Raw genomic sequence first — 23,863 nt, forward strand, 5'->3', positions numbered from 1 at the left:
AATAACTTCAAAAAATGAAACATCATCTTTTTTAACCCAAAGAATGACTGACAAACTACTGTTATTCCGACTTGGATATTTGACAGATATGTTACTAAAAATGAACAAAGTGAGCCTGACACCTCATGGAAAACAAGCGGCAGTATCTGTTACTGATCACAAAATCAGACTTTGCAAGTGCAAACTGGAATTTGAGGAATCTTGTATCTGCCACTGTAACATAACAGAAACCCAACATTTACACTTTTCTACTGTGGTGGGTGGTGCAAATGTGATTTTAAAAAGATATTACATAATAGCATATATCAACAGTGGCAGACCTGTTTATGTCTATTATCTATTATTTTCCAAGTGATCAATGCATGATGCTGCACAGTCCTGCCTGGATAAAAGGTAAATTCAAGTACAAGACAGACCAAGGGATTTTACAGTAGCAGAATATAAAAAGTTCATTGATAGGGCTTTGATTTCACATGACACCTAAGCTTTAAGATGCTACCACTTGTCAAATGTTAATGTGGTATTTTCTCTATATACCTCAATCAAAATAACATATTATCATTGCATGTCTTTCCAGTCAATAATAATAAAAATTTTTTTTTTTGAAATTTAGAACACAAACATGGAGTGAAGTATAAGGAGGAATACCAAGCAAAACATCTGTGAATGTTTTGGTAATTTTAAGCAAGGAGTAACTATTTTAAAAACATAAAATCTTTAGGATATATAAACATTATGTAAGTAAAATACTAGGCAAAAATAACATGAAATGGAAAAGAGGTAATCAGTGTGAATACAGAATTATAAGCTTTTTAGTTGTAATTAATTCTAAAAAACATAACCAAAGTTACAGTTATGGTTAGTAACTTAACAAGAACTTTGAAAGGATGGGTTGCTTTTGATCCACTAAATTTTTGAGATGAAATATTAATTAAACATTAGCAAATACATGCCATTTTCCATAACATTTAGATTATATAGGCGCTAATCAAAAAGCCAAATTTATCTCTAAGTTTACTAAGAAGAACACTACTTCTGATACACTGGCAATTTTATTCTAATGAGACCAAGGATTGTAGCTTTTTTTTTTTTTTTTCTGAGATGGAGTTTTGCTTTTGTTGCCCAGGCTGGAGTGCAATGGCACAATCTTGGCTCACTGCAACGTCTGCCTCCTGGGTTCAAGCAACTCTCCTGCCTCAGCCTCCCGAGTAGCTGGAATTACAGGCGCCCGCCACCATGCCCAGCTAATTTTTGTGTTTAGTAGAGTCAGGGTTTTGCAATGCTAGCCAGTCTGGTCTTGAACTTCTGATCTCAGGCGATCCGCCCACCTCGGCCTCCCAAAGTGCTGGGATTATAGGCGTGAGCCACCACGCCTGGCCAGGATTGTAGCTTTTAATGTTGAGCCTAAGGATGTTTGTTGTGAGGGCTTATTTGTATCAAAATATTTGTTGCAGAAAACTGTTTGATCACTTACAGTTTAAATTACCTTAATTATGGTTAGTTATTTTCAGCCATCAATTTATATCTTCAAAAATAGGAATAAAACTAGAGCCATTCCTAGTTTTAAAATGTTATTTTATAAATAAAAGTTTAACTTTCAAACACAATGAAGAATCTGCACCTTCAGAAATAAAGCATTCTAAGTTTTTTGTATTGTTTGAAAAGAAAATATGAATTTCAGATAGTTAAAATTTTAGCATGCCATTATTAAAAATATTTAGGATAATCAAAAGAAGACTGATACTGGAATGTACAACTTCCAAGAAAAAGAAAGAAAGGAAAATAAAGGAGAGATGAATCCAGTATACAGCAGGACAAAAAAAAAGTCAATACAAAGTAGGACAAATAGGAGGCACAACATAATATAAAAACAGACCCCAAAATATCAGTAATCAAGATAAATATCAAAGGTGCAAACTTACCTTTTAAAATCAGTTACAGATTGATTTAAAAATTCCAGTTATGTACTGATTGCACTTCTAACATATAATGACAGAGAGAGTAAAAGGATGGAGACCTGTATACCAGGAAGATCCTAACCAAGCGAAAGCAAACAGAGCTGTACTAATACACAATAAAATTGACTTGAGACTTATTTAAATGGCCATAATTAACTTTCAACGTCGATTGAAGAAGTAGGAACATACTCAAGAAGGGAAAATAACCATTTTCGGTATTTCCTATCACTTAGATGGTGTTGCATACATAATAATGTTCAGTGATTATGAATTTTTCATGATATTGTGGCAACTGATTTATTCTTTTTTAACCTTCAGTGCCTTGCTTGGATATTTTAAAAGTCCTCCTTGAAAAAGAGCATTTGGAAACAGCTATGCATTTGTAGTTTGTTCAGAGAATGACTTAAAACAAAACAGAGCAAAGAAACAAGAAGAACAAGTTTGCCAAGTAAATTTTCCCTGAAAGCCTGGTTGTATCTTTGTTGAATGAATGAATGAAAGAAATTCTGACTATGTAACTCACTATAAGTATTTAGTTGATTTTGTTTTAAAATAATCAAAGCAGTTAATCTTTGGAATTTTTTTTTTTTTCTGAAAGAAAACATTACATTCAAGTTTTATAACCCCATGAAATAGGACTCTCCTAACATGGAGAATGGAGGGTCAAGGAAATGAAGCCACAAGACAAGGAGAGGAACATTGGGACTAGCATAGTGGAGGTGCACAATAAATTTGAGGGAGAGTAGCCTAATAGAAAAGGCATGGGTTGAAAAACCAAACTGATATCAATAATTACTAATATTTAAAATTCTTATGCATTATAGATTAAGCTCTTAGCACAGTGTCTGATCATATAACCACTCCATCAAGACTAGCTGTTGAGTGTTGCTAATATTGCTAGAGAAACACAGTTCTAGACCTCCCTGTTGTAACTTAAAATAAAGCATTTTATTTTAAGCAGGTAGTCAATAAATATTTATTAGAAAAATTTAATTTACCCTTATACACAATTTAAAACATAATTTTATAGGAAAAAGAGCCATCTATTTTAAAGCAAAAAGAAAGCATTGGTGAACAAACACTAAAAATGAAAACAGATGATCTACAATCCCAGACTTAGAGAATAACGTTGTTACTACTTTGGAATATAACCAAAACTGGGGCCTCTTCCAACATGTCAAAATATTTTTTTCTCTCCTGAGATCCACTTGCTTGGGATCCTAATAGTTTAACTTGAATGCATTTATCAAAGAATTGAGCCAAATCTGTTTATCAGGCAGTCACTGAACAAGAATAACTGAACTTCCCCAAAATTATTTTCTCATTTGTCAAATAAGTATAATAACGTACAACTATGGAGGTGTAAATTTCACTCTGCTGCATGAATGCCCATACCTGATGCATTAGAGAGCTCATCAGACTTATAATTCTAGGAGTGTAGAGACTGCGTGTTGTTTTCTGCCTACTTAACATCACCAAGTACTGGTGATCCAGGCATGAATTCATACCCAGTAGAATGAGTATCGGTTCAGTAGCTGATGGAGGAACATTGCAGGGGTGCTTAAGCACTGGTTAAGAGAAGGTGGGGTGGTCTTCACTCTGCATTCTTGGGGCCCAGCCCAATTTTTGGTACAAACCATGTTCTTGTGGGTGTTTGTTTACGAAAACAGGAACTAATGAAGCCTCAAACATTTCCCCATCCATCCCAGGCTTCTTTCAGCAACCTTGTTTCCTCTGAGATGAAGTGAGATGAGCTGAGAGGAACCTAAGCAACCCCAGTACAGATGATCTACTTACAGCCCTGGGGTGCTTGACTGGACTCATATCTGTGAAGGCCATTTCCATCACTCCATTCCATTCTTCAGTTGCTCTTTATTTTTTATTTGTGCATGATTTTATATTTCAAGTTAAGATTCTGGATTTCTCTCTAAGCTATGATTCTGCTTCCCCATCCCTGCAACAAAACCTCCATAAGTAAGACCTCTTCTGGGCCCAGTCAGCCCCTGGACTTTCCTCCTGGATGCTCCAAGTCTTTCATCTTCATCCACCCAGATCTGACCTTTAGGACTCCCATTCCTGACATTTGATGACTAGGGATTGATTTCGTTGGGTTTATTTTAGCCCTCTTTGGGCACCTTTTAAATAAAGGAATCTTCTGTTGGGAAACGCATTAGCAATGTGTATGTGAGGGGAAGCGAATTTATCAGCTTGGTTTTCCAGCCTCAGGCCCAGATGGCATATGGCAGAAGTGACTTGAAGTCATGATGGAAGCCAGCGAGACAACCCATAGGCCTACTGAGGCCATTTGGGTGGGAAGAAGAAAAGAGAATGCAGAAAAGCAAAAAAGGACATTAAAATGTATCAGTTGCCTACTACATGGCAGGCAGAGGGCTGTGTGTGTGTGTGTGTGTGCAAATATTATATTAATATGAATATGTCAGTTAACATTACTACTTGAATTTTATGAAAAGGGAAAGGTAAAGCTCAAAGAATTAATTTGTTCCAAGTGATCTTACTATAAAGAGAGAGATAGAATTAGGAGCAGGATCAGTGGAGAACCTCATCCTCTCCACAATACCCTGTGGGCTTTGCTTCCTCCAGGCTTAAGCCCCCTTTTTTTTTTTTGGCTCAACAAAGAGAGATTCCAGTGCTAGATGTCAACACAGAATCTTCATGGCACACAGAGTGAAAAAAGGAAAGACAAATGAATATGATGGCTCTAGTTTGCACAGAATAACTAATAGTATCAACACCCACCACTAACAGTCATAGAACTCTGTATTTATATGCCACTTCAGACATCGCCGCAGATGTGATATCCTTCTGATTTTTACTTTACAAACAGTTACTAAGAGGTGTCAGTTTTATTTTCTTCATTTCACAGATTTTTTTCTTGAGACAAATTTGTTTTGCACCCAATGGATTGGGAAAAATTAAAAGTTTGTCAAAAACAACTGTTGGAGAGGATGGGGAACAATGGGGACTCACACACTGTTGGTGAGACTAATTAATGTCTACTTCGGAAAACACATCTAGGGCAGTTGAAGAGATGTGCATATCCTAAGACAGAGCAATTTCAGTCTTATGAAGGGAAATGATCACATTTTATACATGGGACAACATCTATACTAGTGTTGATAGCATAATAATATTCACAAGAGGAAAAACTAGAAACCACCTAAGTGATCATATTTAATCATGGAATAAAATTATTGTCATAGTAACGCAATGGAAATGAGCTAATTACATCTGTACACATCAGCTCAGTGGCTCTGGGGTTCACAACAGCTAAGTCACAGTGCCACAATATCACAGTATCGTGACTTACCTGTTTATTTTATAATTCTGAAAGTGCTCTTACCTCTGTTTTGCACACTGTGGTTGCTTGTCGTGAATGAAGAACTATAAGAAAATATGTTAAAATTCAAAGAATGTTAGTATTTCCCCTTGGTGGTAAAATTCCACTCAGAGGCAAGGTCAATGATAATAGCCTGAAGTCACAGTTATAAAGCACTTTATATTTTACTGGATATGCTAGAAGAATCATTTGTTTTGAAAAGCACTAGGAGGCATGTTATCCTCCTTTCTCAAGCTGGCTATATTAGACGTGGAACAAACTGACCATATAAGTTCTTCTCATGTCTTTTCAGTGAGCACGTATCATTATTCTTTACTTTTTGAAGCCATGAGTTTAAACTTGCTTTGTAGCTACAGTCACTATGGAAAAGAACATTTTGCTGGTGGGGGCTCATAATCTATAGAAACTATTTACCAATTGAAAGTCAACCATAAAGTGGAAGAAGAATATAGAAATTATTGTATTCCTTCTAGAAATTTGTGCTGAGTAAGAAAACTTAGTGGATTATGATAAGAAAAACCCCAAAGAAAAAGAGATTATAAAACTATAAGACAAACAAAATAACAATATGCATTTCTAAATACAAAAATGATATTATCAAGACTGTTCATCAGTGGCTTTTCTTAGCACTCTACTTAATACTTAGCTCTAATTTTCTGGTTCATTTTGTATTGTGGTCAGTATCATCAACATAAGCTCCAGGTGCTACCACAGTTAAATCTAATTACATGAGTGATGCTCTATTCCAAGGACTGTGCTATTGACTAAAGCCTCTGGGTTAATTAAATGAAACCTGATCCATTTCTAGTGCCAATGAAATCACCTGAGCATATATCTGGTTTATGTTGTCACCATAAAAGCCTGAGGTCATATGTCTTGCTTTGTGGATAAAAACGCAAGCAGTTCATCCAGCCACCATACTATGCTGTCACCGCCAGTCAGACTGCTACTGAAATTCAAGATTTGACTCCGTTAAAACCAGAATCCTTTTACTAGCAGCCAGTGTACAATTCTGTTAAATGTCTGGGAAAAAATAGGGAATAGCAAAATTTCTCTGCGCTAATAGTATAGGATTTTTAGAAAATGTTGAAAAGAATAGAAATATCCTCTTGAGGATATTCTAGAAGTACATAGTTGATATGAATATAAGGGGAAAAAATAAAAACAAAATAATGAAAATGAAAATTAAGTCTGGGCGTGTTGGCTCACGCGTGTAATCCCAGAACTTTGGGAGGCTGAGGCAGGCGGATCACAAGGTCAGGAGATCGAGACCATCCTGGCTAACACGGTGAAATCCCGTCTCTACTAAAAATATAAAAAATTAGCCGGGCATGGTGGTGGGCACCTGTAGTCCCAGCCACTAGGGAGGCTGAGGCAGGAGAATGGTGTGAACCTGGGAGGCGGAGGTTGCAGTGAGCCGAGATCGCGCCATGGCACTCCAGCCTGGGCAACAGAGTGAGACTCTGTCTCAAAAAAAAAAAAAAAAAGAAAAAGGAAAATTAAAGGCCTGGCACGGTGGCTTACACCTGTAATCCCAACACTTTGGGAGGCCGAGGTGAGCAGATCACCTGAGGTCAGGAGTTCAAGACCAGCCTTGATAACATGGTGAAACCCTGTCTCTACTAAAAATACAAAAATCAGCTGGGCGTGGTGGCATCTGCCTGTAGTCCCAGCTACTTGGGAGGCTGAGGCGGGAGAATTGCTTAAACCCAGGAGGTGGAGGTTGCAGTGAGCCGAGATCGTACCACTGCACCCCAGCCTGGGCAACAAGAGTGAAACTCTCTCAAAAAAAAAAAAAAAAAAGAAAGAAAGAAAATAAAAATGATGACTCTTTTGTTTAACAAACGTGTTGAACACTTACTAGGCACATGGTATGTTCTGGGGAATAGACAATAAAGAAGACATGGCCTCTGCCTGAATGAAGCTTAGTTTATAAAAGAAACACATCCTTGTATCATAATTATAATGTAGAATAAATGTTATGGTAAAGGTGTGCACAGCATAAGTTTCTGTAGTAGTAAAAGGTCATGTAAATGAAACAAAATTGCTTTCGTTCTCAGGAAAGGCTCTGTGGGAGAAAGATGAACCGAGCTGACCCCTGAAGCATGAATAGGAGTAAGGGTGTATTCCAGGCAGGTAGAGCAGCATGTGCAAAGGCCCAGAGGCAAGGAGCCATGGCCTTTTCTGCAAGAGACCAGAAAGCAGTTCCTTCTAGAGGAAAGGGAGGGTGTGGAGATGATCAATATTATTAGAAGGCTAGTGCAATAGTCCAGGTAAAAGTTGATAGTGGCTGGGCCATGCAAGGAGCTAGTCAAATGGGGGAGAAATAGACACATTCAACACATGTTTTAGAGATATAATTTTGGGAACTGAAAATGGGTGGGATAGGAAGAGTGACGATGGGAAAGAGAGCTTACTGAGTTTACCGGGATGAAAAGCTTTGCAGAGGATATTATGGGTTTCAGAATGGGACTAGAAATGAAGAGTTCGATTTCCACCATTGTGAGTCTGTGCTGCCTGGGACTGAGCTAAGGAAAACTGCTCACTGGGTCATTAGATACACAGGTCTGGAGCTGAGAGAGGTGATTTGCAGAAGATAGGGATTTGGGAATTATCAACATGGGGTTGAAGTTTGATGCTGGGGATGGATGTGATTACGCAGGCCTTAGAGATAGTAAAGAGACCTTGGATGAACTCTGACGAATACCAACATTTGGAGGTCAGTTTGGGAAAAAGTCCAAGATGAGGAATTAGAAGAAGCAGCAGCCAGTTAAGAGAGGGAGAAAAATCAAGGGTCTTTATGTAATAAATGAAACAAACAAACAAATAAACAAAAGAAGTGAAACCACATCAAATAACTATTACAGAAATGAGGCCAACTGGAGAGCTTGTTATTTTTTCACTATAATATAATGTGTACATTTTTTACTTTTAGAAAATTACATTAAGAAAGGGGGCCAGGCATGGTGGCTCATGCCTGTAATCCCAGCACATTTGGGGGCCAAGGTGGGTGAATCACTTGAGCCCAGGAGTTCGAGACTAGCCTGGGCAACATGGTGAGACCCCTTCTCTACAAAGAGTACAAAAATTAGCTGGGCATGGTGGCATGTGCCTATAGTTCCAGCTACTCTGGGGGATGATGTGGGAGGATCACTTGAGCCCGGGAGGTCAAGGCTGCATTGAGATGTGATTGTGCCACTACAAGACAGAATAAAACCCTGTCTCAAAGAAAAAGAAAGAAAGAAAGGAAGAAAGGAAGGAAGGAAGAAAAAACAAAAGAAAGAAAGAAAGAAAAGAGAAGAGGAGGAGGAGGAGGAGGAGGAGGAGGAGGATGATATTGTGGTATGGGGAAGAGTTTTGTATTTAAGCTGTTTGGGACTTAAACACCAGACAGTCCCCAAAGCACAATGAAGCTACATGTCCTAGTACCCACAGGCCAAGAAATGAGAATAAAATTACTGAAGGTGCCAAATGGGACCAGAGAAGAAAGTAAAGGAGCAGAAAGGCATAGGGTATGGTGATCATGCCCCGATATACAGGGCCTGGCAATAGCAATGAGAGTGAATGTTCGTTGGGCTCTTGCAACATGCCTGACTCTGCCCTAAGTTTCTCATGTAATACAGTGAGGTCGCCCAAGTCACATGGTTCACTGCTGAAAAAGTCAGGCAGCCTGGCTTCAGTGGATCCTGCTTAACCACTATTCTGTTCCACCACAAACATAGTACATTCCCAGTAAATAATTATTGAATCAATTAAAGGGAGCTTTTTAGCAGGCACCAGGGATAGTCAGGATTTATGGGCTGCATTTTTAGACTCAAGTCCTTATGGGCAACACTGGCTACTGAACAGTGCTTGGGCTTTGAGGTTGGGCTTGGCTTCAGTGGTAAAGGGCTCGGTCTTTCCCAGCTTCATGTTTTTCATCTGAAGAATGGAGGCAAATTATCTCCTGGATTCATTAAGCTTTAAGCTGGGGTTCCATGGAGGAATAGGAGTGTTCCAATAGGGAGAGGGTGGAGAGGAGCAAATACGGGGGGAGGGGCTACAGGCAGGAGAGTGGTGTGTGCCAGTGCCATGCATTAAGTGGCATTGTGGTTGCTGGCAGGCATCTGACGAGGCTGCAGTGCCGAGAGTGAGAGGAAAGTGGCTTGAACTGAGGTCAGAGCCACTGGCCGGAGTGAGATCATGAGGGCCTTACAGCACTAATACTGGAGGCCCTGGATTTTGTTTTAGGGCAGTCACTACTAATTTAGTGACTTTGGTCAATAAATATCCTGACTGAGCCTTGGCTTCTTTTCTTTATAGAGTGTCACTCTGTCGCCCAGGCTGGAGTGCAGTGGCGCCATCTTGGCTCACTGCTAGCTCTGCCTCCCGGGTTCACGCCATTCTCCTGCCTCAGCCTCCCGAGTAGCTGGGACTACAGGCACCCGCCACCACACTCGGCTAATTTTTTTGTATTTTTAGTAGAGACGGGGTTTCACTGTTTTGGCCAGGATGGTCTCGATCTCCTGACCTCATGATCCACCTGCCTCGGCCTCCCAAAGTGCTGGGATTACAGGCGTGAGCCACCGCGCCCGGCCAAGCCTTGGCTTCTTTAACTCTTCAGTTGGATTGACAGTTGTCACAATAAGCGGAGCAGGCAGGTATCTAATCTGATGATGGCATTTTCAACAACACTTGGTCTTCTAGCCATAAATTGCTGTTCAGAAGTAACTAAAGCTTTGGTGTGGTCATCAACCCTGAATAGTTTGAAACAACAAACTTTTCCTCCCAGGTTGATTAGCATCTTTTCCCGTTAATCCTATCTGGTTAATATTTAATCCTTAAAATTTCCCAAACTTCTTTAACACTCAATCAATCATTTATAAATTTCCAAAAGAACAACATTATTAACATCAATAACAGCTGTGATTCACAAGTTTCTCTTGAGCCTCATTATTGGGCTTCAGAAACAAAGACTTTCGTTTCTCAGAAAGTCTTTGTGATCATTTATCTGAGACAGCACATGGCCTGACCCCTCAGCCTCAGACCTGAGAAAGGATTCCTGGCTCCTTACCTGCTAATGGCAAGTGGAATCTCTTGAGTATTTTGGTTTTCTAACAGATGAGTTGATTCAGGCTTCCTCTGGTTATGAGGAACTATATAAAACAGTGACATAATTTGGTCAGGTTGCAAAAGAAAAATAATTGAGAACCATTAGAAGCCCACTGGAACTACTATAATTTCCTCCAAGTAATCTCTGATTATTAGAAGGGGGCTCTTGATGGTCGGTGGAAACTATAACTCATGTATTCTACGGCTCTTCTGGCTCCTCAGAATGACTTTTGCTCTGAGGTTATAAAAATCACTTTTAATATTTACAAGCTAGAACACATCATTGAACCTCCCAAAAATACAGAATATTACATTGGAAGGTATTTAGGGATTATTCTGGACCCGTGATTTTAAAAGATTTTTAGCTTCCTCCTCATTCATTCATTCATTTATATCATTCGACAAACATTTACTGAATAGCTACTATGGGACAAGTACTCTGCCAGAGTCTGGGAATACAGTGGAGAAAAAGACAGACATGGTTCGTACATTCTAATGAAAGGAAACAGAAAATAAGCATGCAAGTAAGTCGATAAGAACATTTCTATTAGGCAGTACCGATGATATAAAGGAAATAAAGTACTACTTTGGGATACAGAGTGACTATACGTATGGCTAAAAAAGACCTTTCTGAGAGATGGCATTTGAGCTGAGATCTTAAGAAGAAGAAAGTTAAACAAAAGGACTGTTCTGGCAGATGGAGGAGATTGGGGTGCACAGCTCGTCATGGCGCTTGTATTCTCACGCCCTCTTGTGACAGGGCAGGTGAGCTCCTAGGGTTCTCACGTAGACCAGCAGTCCCTAGCTAGGTTCCGACCAGGGATACAGTTTCTCAATTTTTTCCCCCCTCGATCATCAAGTTTTTAAAAGTTCTGCCAACCATACAATCTGGAGTTATTTAGTAATTACATATGCAATTTATGTTCCTGCTTTTTATTTTCTTTTCATCACAGATAGATTTAACTAGCCATCCAGAATTGCCAAGGGCACATCATAATACTATGATATAAAATCTCATAAAACACTCTCCCAGCTGTGACCGTAAGTAATAAAGCTAAGGGTGCATACAGGCACCAACATGTTTTAATTGTGCTTGTTGCTCTGTACTCTGCCCAAGGTTCATCACAAACTGGATACCTTTGATCGAAGGACCGTGATTACTTGAAATGTGAGTCAGTGACTGGTCCATGAATCATGCATCCCATAAAATCATTTCATGTCATCAATAGCGACCCAGAGTATCTGCCCCTCTTGAGCTGAACAATGCCACATTGTTGTGTTAATAATCATTGTTGTGTTGCCTGATGAAACAGTACCTGAACATTTTAGTTAGGAGGTTGAGCTGTATTGTCGGAAAGGGCATGGTTTCAGTTAGGTTTTTGAATTATTTAGGCCTGCCAACAACTCCTACTCCTCCATCAGGGACCCATGGGGAATCCATAAACCCAAGTTAGGCCTCACTTCAAGTTTAGCTTTGTCAATATGCAGAGAAGAGCAGACCTGAGCCTCACAAATGAAATACAACTTGACCAAAACCACTCAGTGATTTGGTGGCAGGCCTCTGAAATCCTAACCTAATGTTGCTCTGTTGAACGATGCTGTCTTTTGTGAACTCTTTGGGCTGTGATGCAGGCCCTTTGGCTCTGGACATAATTCATCATTCTAGAAGAATGGAGAACAGTATTTCACAGGTGAATATGAAAGTACTACCTGCTTAGCATCCTGCCATTTAGGATATGAGTGACTGTTGGATTGCATGCTTGCATAATGACACCAACACTTTAGAGGTATGGGCACGTGTGTACATGTATGTGTGTGTGTGCATGAAAGAGCCACGTGTGTGTGCATGGGTGACATCAGAGGCAGAGATCCCAAGAGCTTTTTTGGAGCAGGGGACTAGTTATGTCTTTCCAAAGTGGCAGAGGGTGACAGTGTAATGCCTTTTGGACAGTAGCATATGGCTAAAGAAAGACATCTGGCCTATCCTGGATTTAAATCACCCTGTTTAGACTAGAGGACTCTGAGGTCCTGGGGATGTATGTGTGTGCATCAGGATCACGTCATCGTTCACACACATACATCCCCATCCCAGGCTTCCAAACAATCAATCCTTTTTAATAACCATGAGCACTGTAGATCTAGAAAGAGAACCTAGTCTATTAGTATTAGGGTAAGAAAACAAATGTAAACAATTCACCTTTTTCTGCTTCAAGGACCTGTATTGAATTAAAAAAAATAAAATTTACTGACTCTTGATGACAGAGAATTTAATATAACACCATGTGTGTTTTTAGAGCATTTGGTTGGCAGACTTTTGGTAAAACTTTTGTTAGCATAGTTCGTAGTTTTAAAAAAATCTACAAATAATTCTTCATAAAACTAAACAAAAATCAAAATTTTGTAATCAATGTGCGAAGGAACAGACAAGTCCACAGTCGGCTGATGGGACTATCAATTGCTTTTACGCTTTTAGAAAGGAATTTACCATAATTATCAAAAACCTTAGAAATACTCTTATTCTTATCTCAATAATTCCATTGATGAGACTCCTTTTCTAAGATACAACCTGAAATCTGAGCCAAGTTCTATGCACAAAGATGTTCATTGCATCATTACTTTTACAGAGTTAAATCACTGGAAACAATCTATGTGCCCAGATAACTGAAAATTAATTTTGGTGCTATACTCACTTATTGGAATATTATAAAGACATTGTAAGTATTTATGTAGAGAATGAAATAAGATTATACTGTAAGTAGGCACCCATGTTACATTAAAAGTTTGGAATAAAAACTGGACCCATGATATATTTTTATGCAATTATATTTTATATCCATGTATATTTGTGTGTATGCAGAAAAAATGATTTGAAGTGATATGATAAACTATTAAAGGTTGTACTTAAGCAATAAGGCTACGGTTAATTTTTTCTTTATACTTGCTCTGAAATTTCTATTTTTAAAAATAAGCATGGAAATATTCACATTATCCTTTTTAAATGTAGCCATTTATCTTCCCAAACATTTTCTTTCTCTTTCTTCCTTATGGTGGTAGAATTCTTGATCATCCTTCATTATGGAAATGTTCATGCTTATTGGGCTTGTATCTTTGGGCCCTATTCTACTCTACCCTTGAAGAAGCAAAAAGCATTACAGTAGATACAGTGTTTGCTGTAGTATTTATTTAACTGCAAATAATTTTATGAAGTCCATTTATATATTGCATCAGTTGAAGAAGACCTCAGGTATCATTTAGATAAGAACTGCTTTAACCAGGGGGATGAAAGAGATCATTGAATGGCCTGATGGGGTCCATGAACCTTCTGCAATGAAAAGCTAAATTTTTTTCTCTATAAGTATGTGCATATATTTTTTCTTTTTCTGGGGAGATAAAGGTTTATTATACCTTTCATCAAATTTTCAAAGTAGTGTGAGGTCCATTAAATGTTAAAAACAGTTGGTTTACAGATGAGGTCCCAAAGGGTCATGCCATTCTCCTAGATTCCTGCAGTCATCTGAAGGCTAAACTAACCCTGAGCCCAGCTCTCCTGACTCATAGTTGCTTCATAGATAAGAAACTTTTGGCAACAAATTGCTTAGAGAGGCATTGTATGCCTCCCTCTGAAGCTAGCCAACAGAGAAGGCTTTTTGTTTCAAAGACTTTGGCATTCCCTAGGATTCTGGAAAGAGGACATACATTTCATTATGGACAGAAAATCAAAGAAAATCTATAGGCTAAGTAAAAAGAGTAATGAATCCATTCTAGTGGGTGGTTTGAAAGTATCCCTACTGAGTCTCCCCCAGGACTTTGAACCTGGCTGTTCAAAGTGCTCAATCGGATGCAGTGATTGCTCTCAGGCTTGTCAAAGGGGAGAGGAAGAGGAGATGAGAACAGTGCAGAGAAGCCCTCTATCTGGGGGAGCAGTTGTTTTATTTAATTGAGACCAACCAACTTTTGGTTTGAGGGCTCTGAATTTAAAATCAAATGTAGTTAGAAAAGTAGCATGAAATTGCTCATTTTTCTTCTGTAACTTTTTTATTGTTAGAAAATAAACATAGTCAAGTTAAATAGTAGTATCTCTTTTATTACCTCTCTCCCTCTTTCTCCTTCCTTTTTTCTTTTCCTTTTTCCTCCCTCCTTCCCTTTTCCTTCCTCCCTTTCTTTCACCTTCTCTGCCCCCTCCTTTCATTCCTTCCTTCCGTATTCTTTTTAGTTATTTTAGTTCAGAGCTAATTCTGTATTTTTTTTAAGGCAGAGAGACACGGCGGTGGGGAAGACACCTAGACTTCGGGATTTCCAGGACTGGCCCTATCTCCTGCTGGGTGTGAGGACTCTGGCCAAGTTTGCCACCTCTCCGGGGTTTCATTTTTCTCTTAGGGCTTTGTGAGTACAAAATGAGACAATGAGTCTTTCCTTTCTGTGAAAACTATAAAATGCCATATGAATTTGAGCAGAGGGAGGTAGCACATAAAAGATTCTAGTCCACAAGACAGTGTTCAAGCAAGCACTGAGCGCAGGCACAAGCACAGCTTGCCCTGATGGGCTTTTGTTATGAAGAAATGGTCTTGAATCTCAGCCTAAACAAACAATGGGGAAGCGTCTTGGCAAAAGATAAGGAGCAAGAATGTGTTTTTGCACTAGACCTTCTTGTTCTTTAGATGATATCAACTTCTAGCAGAATGCCAACTAAAGTTGCAAAGAAAACAAACAGTTCTGCACATTTCCTGCCATCTAAGGCTGACCCCCCATCTCCCAATTCTTTTTTGCCTGTTTGTGATTGGAGGGCCTACTGTCCTCTCAGACTGACCAAAGGGTTATGATTTGCGGTCATCGTCATCGTGAGCAGCACCCAACTACTACTCGAGATACCCAGGCCTAGCTTACAGGAAGCAGGGGACGGAGTCCTGTATTCAGGCACCTTGGATGTGTGGGTTCCCCCAGCAGCTGAGCATCACCCCAGCCTGCTCCTTCCAGGTGACACTAAGGAAGTGCAACCCCTCCCAGAAGAGCATGAGCCTGGTGAAGTCCTCAGTGGAACCAGAACTGTTCTTCTCGTCAAGCAGTTATCTATGTTATCTTTCTTGGCACGATTGTCTTATGGATTAGGGAGATTAGGGGTAATAAATGTCTCGTTTGAGTGACAAGCTGGAAATGTGACTTTTTGATTTTAACATTCTCATAAAACCAACAAATGAAAAAGAAAGCAAGGAAAGACATTCACGTCTACTATATAGATAAGAGCATAGGTCAAACACAAAGACAAGAACAAAATTCCTTAGAGTCCAGTGGGAGTGAGGTGAGGCCACTTGTGTTGTTGGACAGTCTTCATCAGTCATGGTGACCCCACTATCCTCGTAGGGAACTTTGTCTTTGGGCACTGAAGGGAGTCAATACCCTTGGAAGGCTCTACTATAGGTTTATCTCACATGACTTTTATGCCATTTATTTAGCCTCCACTGATCACCTGGCCATTTGTGCACTACTTACTTTTGACTTTATCACATCAACTTTGCACAGAAATGTACCCATCCCTATTTTATTTTATTTTTATTTATTTAATTAATTTATTTATTTTGAGATGGAGCTTCGCTCTTGTTGCCCAAGCTGGAGTACAATGGCATGATCTTGGCTCACCGTAACCTCTGCCTCCTGGGTTCAAGCGATTCTCCTTCCTCAGCCTCCCGAGTAGCGTGGCTGGGATTACAGGCATGCGCCACCACACCTGGCTAATTTTGTATTTTTTGTAGAGATGGGGTTTCTTCATGTTGGTCAGGCTGATCTTGAACCCCTGACCTCAGGTGATCCGCCCACCTCGGCCTCCCAAAGTGCTGGGATTACAGGCGTGAGCCACTGCACCTGGCCCCCATCCCTATTTTATGGCTGAGGAAACAGAAACTGGGATGAGTAAGAGCATTTTCTGAAGTTCACAAAGCGAGTAGGTGGCACGGCAGGATTCCTACCCAGGTCTTGTGCAACTTTGGATCTCATATTCCTTCTACTTTGCATTCCTGTATTTCTTATGAAGGACAAATAGCAAAGTGCAATACCATTTCTAACACTTGATTTCTGTAATGCTGAAGGCTGGAAGCCATCAGTCGATACTGTATATCTTCCATGTGGAACTGGGCACGTTCTTCCTATAACAAATGAACCCTGAATGACCATGGTGGCCAAACAGGATCTTGGTTTAAAATCTGGAGCTAAGCTTGTTTTACTTTGGCTTTCTTATCTTTAAAATAGAGATACTAATGCATTTTGAGCATAGCTATTGTGAGAACTAAGTGTAAGTATCTGAAGCAAATAGAATCTTGCCTATTGCAGACATTTAATGCCTCAAAATTCCCTTCTTTGCTTCCAAGGATAAAATTGCTACTTACCTCACTTAAGTCCCTTAAGCTTATCTGACTGCAAGAAAAAGAAATACGGTGTTACATAAAACACAGTTCATAATGACCAAGATAAAATCATTCTGAGCCTTACAAACCTTTCATTACATTTTCATTGCCAAATTAACAGCCCATAGTCCAGTGAGATATTTATCACTCTTCCATAAAACTAAAGCCAGGTTATTTTTCTCATAATTTTCTAAGGAAAAGACAAAGTTAAGAGCCAAAATAAAAGGTGGTGATAGAAAGGACATGAATAAACGTGCATCTTATTTTGGGAGAAATTAAAAAATCATCATTTCTCCTGACATTTGATTTCCTACGTCAAGTTTCATTGGCACAGTCAGACCTATTATTAACTTGGTTTTAAAGCTCTTAGTTTTTCACTTTGAGGGAACATAAAGAGTTTTCAATATGAAGCTGTCAGGTGCAGTGGGGTCTCAGGAAAGCAAGTGTAAGAGAGAATGCTGATAAAGAACGAAGATCTGAGACAGGAGAAAAACATAAAATTGAATGGTAGAGAAAAAATCCAACATGGAATTGAATAATATGAATTTTGGAAAGGTCTCTGACTAAACTTCAAGCTTTTCATTTTATCAGCAAGTCAATTAACTTCTCTAAACCTCACTTTTTTTCATCTGCAAAATGGCAACAAGAGTGCTCATGAGTGTTAATGTGAGAATTGCTAGAAATAAAAAGTAACAAAGTTGGGGCCTGGTGCAGTGGCTCATGCCTGTGATCCCAGCACTTTGGGAGGCTGAGGCAGGCTGATCACTTGAGCTCAGGAGTTCCAGACCAGCCTGGCCAACATGGTGAAACCCTGTCTCTACTAAAAATACAAAGATTAGCCGGGTGTGATGACACATGCCTGTAGTCCCAGCTACTCGGGAGGCTGAGGCAGGAGAGTAGCTTGAGCCCAGGAGGTGGAGAGATTGCTGTGAGCTGAGATCATCCACTGCACTCCAGCCTGGGTGACAGAGCGTGACTCCATTTCAAAACAAACAAACAAACAAACAAAAAACAATGTTGGGCATTCAGTGTGCATCGTTGTCAGAATGTGGTCAAAGTTTGGTGAAGAAACTATGAAGGGAGTGGAGTGAGGGTATATGTTCCACTTCCCCAGTTCTGTCAGTGAAAACACTGGATCTGAAGAATATGGGAGTATTAAGTGTGCAACACTGATCACAGTTGAAGGCTATTGATCTAGAGTTTTAGGAGTCAGGCTATATCAGGATTCCAGAAACACACAGTACTCAGATGCTAGATCCCAGTGTCGGATCTGCAAGCAACAGGCAACTGTACCAAGGTTCCACGGTTTTAGCCTCTTACATCTTACCCCCTGCCTCCCGCTTTTAGTTGGAAACCTGAGAAGACAAAAGAGATCTGAATAGAGGTAATGAAGTAGAACAAACACCCAGAGTATTAATTATTTTGGGGTTAAAATGTGGCTAATCTCAGTATTTAATGTTTAAGAAGCCAGTGTATTAAAGATACTGAAAGATTGGCTGTAGGGCTTCAATTTAAAATGTAGATTTGAAGTTACAAGTGTCAAGATGTGTTTGTCTCCATTTTAAAGAGTTTGAAGTGTTTAAGATAAATTAAAATTTTCTATATTTATACATTTACTTTCTTGGATTTACAGAAATTGTTAAAGTTTTGCTGGCTAGCATTTAAACCTACCCTGTCAACATTAGAAGTACTTAAAAATCAAAGAAATTAAATTTATAAATATATTTCAAATATTTAAGGAGATTTAAATGAGTTTGTTAAACAGTTTTACTAAGATTCTTTAACCTATTTGACTTGAGTTGGTTGAACATTTGTTGAAGACTAAGCAGAGTGATTGTCTTTCTGTTTGGATAAAATCACCTGATTTATAAATAGAGCAGTGCACTTTATAGATGGAAATCTGAGGCTTCAGGAAAGCTCGGGTTTGGAATTTGCAGCTTTAATCAATGGAATTTTCACTGAGAACCCAAGTGATTGTAAGAAGGCATTTCTGTGTAGACCAGAGTTTCTTACTCTTTGAGAGCTTTGAACACATGTGTGTCCAAGTTCTGTCTGCTGAAGATGGCGAAAAAAACCATGGTCATTAATTTTTTTCACATTTTTTCCTATGCATAAGAGGTCCTCATTATAAATGTAAAGATATTACCTTTTACTATAAATATAGGTCTCTCCAGGAATGCCTTAGTTTTTGGCTTAGTTTTAAATGAATTGAATTTGATTCTTGCTCTGTCATCTGTGGGCTCTGTCACCCTGGATAAGTTAAATTCTCTCTCTGAAGCTTAGTTTTCCCACCTGTAAAACTGATAAATCTAGACAGTAGTGAAGAGAATTGCTGAAGATTCTAATGAAAGAATGTGACGTGAAAGCTATTTGGAGTGAAATAACACTCTACATTTGCAGAACATTTTAATGTTCACATTTGCTTTGAAATTAAACTTTTTATCCTGAGATAAAATTATGGATTTTTTATCCTTAGATAGAATTATGGATTCCCATGCAGTTGTAAGAAATAATACAGACAGTTCCTATGTGCCCTATACCCAGTTTCCCCCAATAGCAACAACTTGGAAAACAATAATAATGATGTTTATACTTTAAAATCAATACTTTCCATTCATAAATACAAATGTGTATATCTCTATAACCATACTTTCTCTTTTAAAAGACCACGGTTTCTCGATATCTATAAAGACTTTTTGTTTTCACTTCCCAAATCATCAGAGCATACATTTTTGCGACAGAGATTGTTTGAATTGATGTGATGCCAGCATTGCTGGTTGTAAAGAGAAAACTGGCTGGCCGTGTTGCTTCACACCTGTAAATCCAGCACTTTGAGAGGATAAGGCGGGCGGACTGCCTGAGGCCAGGAGTTTGAGACCAGCCTGGACAGGAGTGTTAGAGAGACCCCTGTCTCTACTTAAAAAAAAGAAAGAAAGAAAGAGAAAGAAAGAAAGAAAGAAAGAAAGAAAGAAAGAAAGAAAGAAAGAAAGAAAAAATGGAAAGCCATAGTTAGGCAAGTGGGTGTTTTGTTTCTTAAATATTGGGTGCTTCATTTAAATTATATTTTGGCTGAACCCTGCACCTTTGGCCATTGAGTGTACTGAAGCTTAAAGGACATATGGGACAATGAACCCTCGATTTCTTAATTTTTATCAGTAAATTGGAGATAGTAATTTTTTTACAGTGCTGTTGTGTGACTAAATGAATTAATACATATAAGATCCCAAACCGGGCCTGGTGTGTAGTTACGACTCAGAAAATGTTGTTGATTACTCTTGCTGTTACTCAGGATGATTTTATTTGGTGCATGGACCACGGTATTAAAATTACAATGGATTCGTAGTAGAAAAGTTATTCCCTTTTTAATTGTCTTTCAGATTATGTCAAAGAGAAAGGCTCAGTGCAGTGGTTAGTAGATATGAAACACTGTTCTAATATTTGCTTACCTTCCCTTTTATCAGAGGTAAAATTCCCCAGAGCTCAAAGTTTTGTTTTGAAGCTATCTGTATTGAAGTTATTTATAATAATTATATGTCTTTCTTTTAAGTAAATTTATTTAAGTTGAAAAAAATGAGCAGAGCAGAAAAAATAATTAAGTACATGGATATTGTAAAAATCATAATAATGGTACATAAGTGGCTGAGAATGTCCAACCAACATTCTCCAAACTTCGAAGTTCTCTTCTGGTTTTGAGTTGTCAATGAATGACTGGGGTGACGTTTTCCTTTACTGAAGTGCTTCAATTCAGTAATTGTTTCGTGAAACCAAGGCTTAGCTTTAAAAAAGAGAATAGCAGAGCTGGCAGAGACAAATGGGGCCTGAAACACAATAGCTGGAACCACAAAGACCATCCAGGGTGAGCACAGCCCACTGCAAAAGGCTGCAGCTGTCTAACTGCCTACCATTGATACAGTTGATTGCCAGATGTAAATCATGGCTTCTGCCTTAGGGAAGGCAACTCATCTCACTCACAGTGCCTTACCAACAGCTGGCAGAGACGGAGCAGGCACTCTCCTGCATGGTTCGGCTGCAGAAGCTCTGATTGCCAATGTTCCTTCTGTTTTCAGAGCAATATCCTTCTGTGGTTGATTACATGGGACTTGGGCATCACTAATGATGATATTACCACCCATGTGGGCCCTGCTAAAAATGAATTTGAAAGCACATCTCTCTTTCAGAGGCAAAGCCATGTCATTTATCGTGGTATCCCCAGTGTCTCCTATGGGGCTGTGCAGGTTTTTGCCCCATCAATAGTCAAATGTCAACCCTGTGACTTTAAGTTACCTAACTTCTCTGAAGCGTGGTGACCTTAGGTGCCCAGTGAGTATGGAAGTACTATTTATTGGGCACATGTGCCATCCACTGGGCTTGGTACTTTACTCTTCTGAGGCTTAGGAAACATACTTTACAGGGCTGCTGGAAAAATTCAATAAGAGAAAATATAATTACTCTCTTGAGGTGTTTTGGTGAAGAGATCCAGCACAATTCTCATCACATCTAAAAATGATTAAATAAAAGTAAACTGTAACTACAGGAACCCCAGAGATATCAAATGCCAACTTCTAAAGATGTCAACACCACCAAGACAGTAACCCAATAGACCTGTGTGGTTTGTGCCCGCAGAGGGACGCATTTGGCAATTGAGTGAGCATTATGTTAGACTCTGGAAACTCAGGCATAGATAAGGCTTAAATACCTTCAAAGCTTTTGTGGTGGATGTATTCCTCGAACTTGGTTCCCTCTGGGTTCTTAGCCCTGTCTGCATATTAGCTTCACCTGGGGGAGCCTTAAAAATTCTGATGCCCAGGTCTCACTTCAGAGCAATTAAAATAGATACTGGGGATAGTGCTTTAAAATAAGCTTTCCAATTATTTTAGTGTAAAGCCAGGATGATAACCACTGTATTAGAAAATACAGCCTCTGGCTGGGCACGGTGGCTCACGTCTGTAATCCCAGCACTTTGGGAGGCCAAGGCGGGTGGATCACCTGAGGTCAGGAGTTCGAGACCAGCCTGACCAACATGGTAAAACCTCATCTCTACTAAAAATATAAAAATTAGCTGAGTGTGGTGCCACACAGCTGTAATCCCAGCTACTCAGGAGGTTGAGTCAGGAGAATCAATTGAACCCGGGAGGCAGAGGTTGCAGTGAGCTGAGATCACATCACTGCACTCCAGCCTGGGCAATAGAGCGAGATTCCATCTCAAAAAAATATATACAGCCTCTATTTCTAGAAAAATACAGAGTTATGGATTCTGGATACCTAATTCTGCCGAGAACAGATGGGAGAAGCTGGTTTCCTTCCTCTCTTCATCCCTCCCTCCCTGTCTTTCTCCCTTTCTCTCTCTCTTTCTTTCTTTCTTTCTCTTTCTTTCTTTCTTTCTTTCTTTCTTTCTTTCTTTCTTTCTTCCTTCCTTCCTTCCTTCCTTCCTTCCTTTCTTTCTTTCTTTCTTTCTTTCTTTCTTCCTTTCTTTTTCTTTCTTTCTTTCTCTCTCTCTTCCTTCCTTCCTTCCTTCTCTTGTTTGTTCTTTCTTTTCTTTTCTTCTTCTTTTCCTGTGCTGTGACGGATATTATCCTAGGCACTTTACAGGAATGGCATACCTTATCATCATCATTTTATCATACGAAGATGGTTATTTTCTTCTTATAAATAAGAAAAGAAAACTCAGAGATGTTAAAGAGCTTTTCTGAAGTCATACTGCCAAAAGTGGCTCACCTGGGATCCAAACTCATTGCTACTGGGTCCCAAGATACTGTTCTTTCCAGCATGAGGAAACAGAAAGAAGATAAAATGCTTTTTTCTCCACACTGAACAACCTCATCATCTTCAATATTTTATTTTAGTTTATATATTTATTTTTTTGAGACAGTCTCTCTCTGTTGCCCTCTGTCGCCCTCTGTCGCTGGAGTGCAGTGGTGCAATCTTGGCTCACTGCAACCCTTGCCTCCTAGGTTAAAGCGATTCTCATGTCTCAGTCTCCAGAGTAGCTGGGATTACAGACATACTCCACCCCACCCAGCTAGTTTCTGTATTTTTGTAGAGATGGGGTTTCACCATGTTGGCCAGGCTGGTCTTGAACTCCTTGCCACATGTGAGCCGCCTGCCTCGGTCTCCCAAAGTGTTAGGATTAGAGGCGTAAGCCATTATGCCTAGTCTCAATATTTTATTAATCCTATTTTCTGTCTTCTTACTTCTCTGAGGTTTGATCAGTCCTTTACGTATTAGACTATTTGGCCAGGAGTTTTAGGAATGCTGCATTTTACATTTCCAACTCTGATAACACAGCTTCATGGGTTGGATGGTCTGTTATTATTGTTGCCTCCCAGTTTCTCACTCTTTGAAAATGGAAATCAAAACAGAGCAAATCTGCTTACTCCTAGTCTGATTAGGTTCCTTTGAAAGCTGCAGAAGGAAATTTATATTTATCCATCATCTACTATATTTCAGGTACTGTGCCAGGTTATATGGGTACTGAAATGAGTCAGTTCCTCTTCCATCCCTTCCTGGGCTGGAAGAAACAGACTTGTCAATTTGTTATATTCTATGGGGCAACATAGGTACCAATGGAGAAGGGCCCAAGGTAATAAAAGTGCAATAAGTGTTGGTTAAAAATAGGTTGGTTAAAAATAGTGTTGGTTAAAAATAGGTTGGTAAGAAAGTGCAATAATTGTTGGTTAAAAATAGGTACTGTTTCCCCTTTGCCTTCTGCCATGATTGTAAGTTTCCTGAGGTCTCTCCAGAAGCCGAGCAGATGCCAGAATCATGCTTCCTGTGCAGCCCATGGAATTGTAAGCCAATCAAACCTCTTTTCATTATAGCTTACCCAGTCTGAGATATTTCTTTATAGCAATGTGAGAACTAATACAAACACAGACCATTTGAATCGAGACTTGAGAGCCTCTATTCCTTCCCATGCTGCCATGGCAGTTGAAAGGGGGACAGAAAAGGAGGGCATTCCATGGGAGAGACAACAAAGAAGGTGTTTCTTGGAAAACTTATGCTTGTGTGGGGCTGTAATGGAGGAAATGGTGAAGAGACATTCGCCACAGAAGGAGGAATGA

The 23,863-nt window shown here is 39.4% G+C and overlaps 1 protein-coding gene and 1 long non-coding RNA gene across 4 annotated transcripts in view; one reads left to right on the forward strand and one right to left on the reverse strand.

Moving 5' to 3' along the window:
* The window catches only part of LOC105374482 (uncharacterized), a 41,073-nt gene extending 26,359 nt beyond the window's left edge, over positions 1–14,714 (forward strand). Inside the window, exon 3 of the long non-coding RNA XR_925387.4 lies at positions 14,659–14,714. This is a non-coding gene — a long non-coding RNA (uncharacterized LOC105374482). The remainder of the gene's footprint in view (positions 1–14,658) is intronic.
* Positions 1–23,863, reverse strand: part of CLNK (cytokine dependent hematopoietic cell linker) — a 248,452-nt gene that overhangs the window by 29,077 nt on the left and 195,512 nt on the right. For all 3 annotated transcript variants that reach the window (XM_011513775.3, NM_052964.4, XM_017007684.2), the window contains exons 12-15: positions 16,785–16,812; positions 12,605–12,623; positions 10,370–10,451; positions 5,320–5,360 (exon numbers count right to left, since the gene is read on the reverse strand). In XM_011513775.3, coding sequence (XP_011512077.1) covers positions 5,320–5,360; positions 10,370–10,451; positions 12,605–12,623; positions 16,785–16,812 — 170 coding nt within the window. The remainder of the gene's footprint in view (positions 1–5,319; positions 5,361–10,369; positions 10,452–12,604; positions 12,624–16,784; positions 16,813–23,863) is intronic.

This window comes from Homo sapiens, chromosome 4, assembly GCF_000001405.40.
Source record: "Homo sapiens chromosome 4, GRCh38.p14 Primary Assembly".
Taxonomy (NCBI): domain Eukaryota; kingdom Metazoa; phylum Chordata; class Mammalia; order Primates; family Hominidae; genus Homo; species Homo sapiens.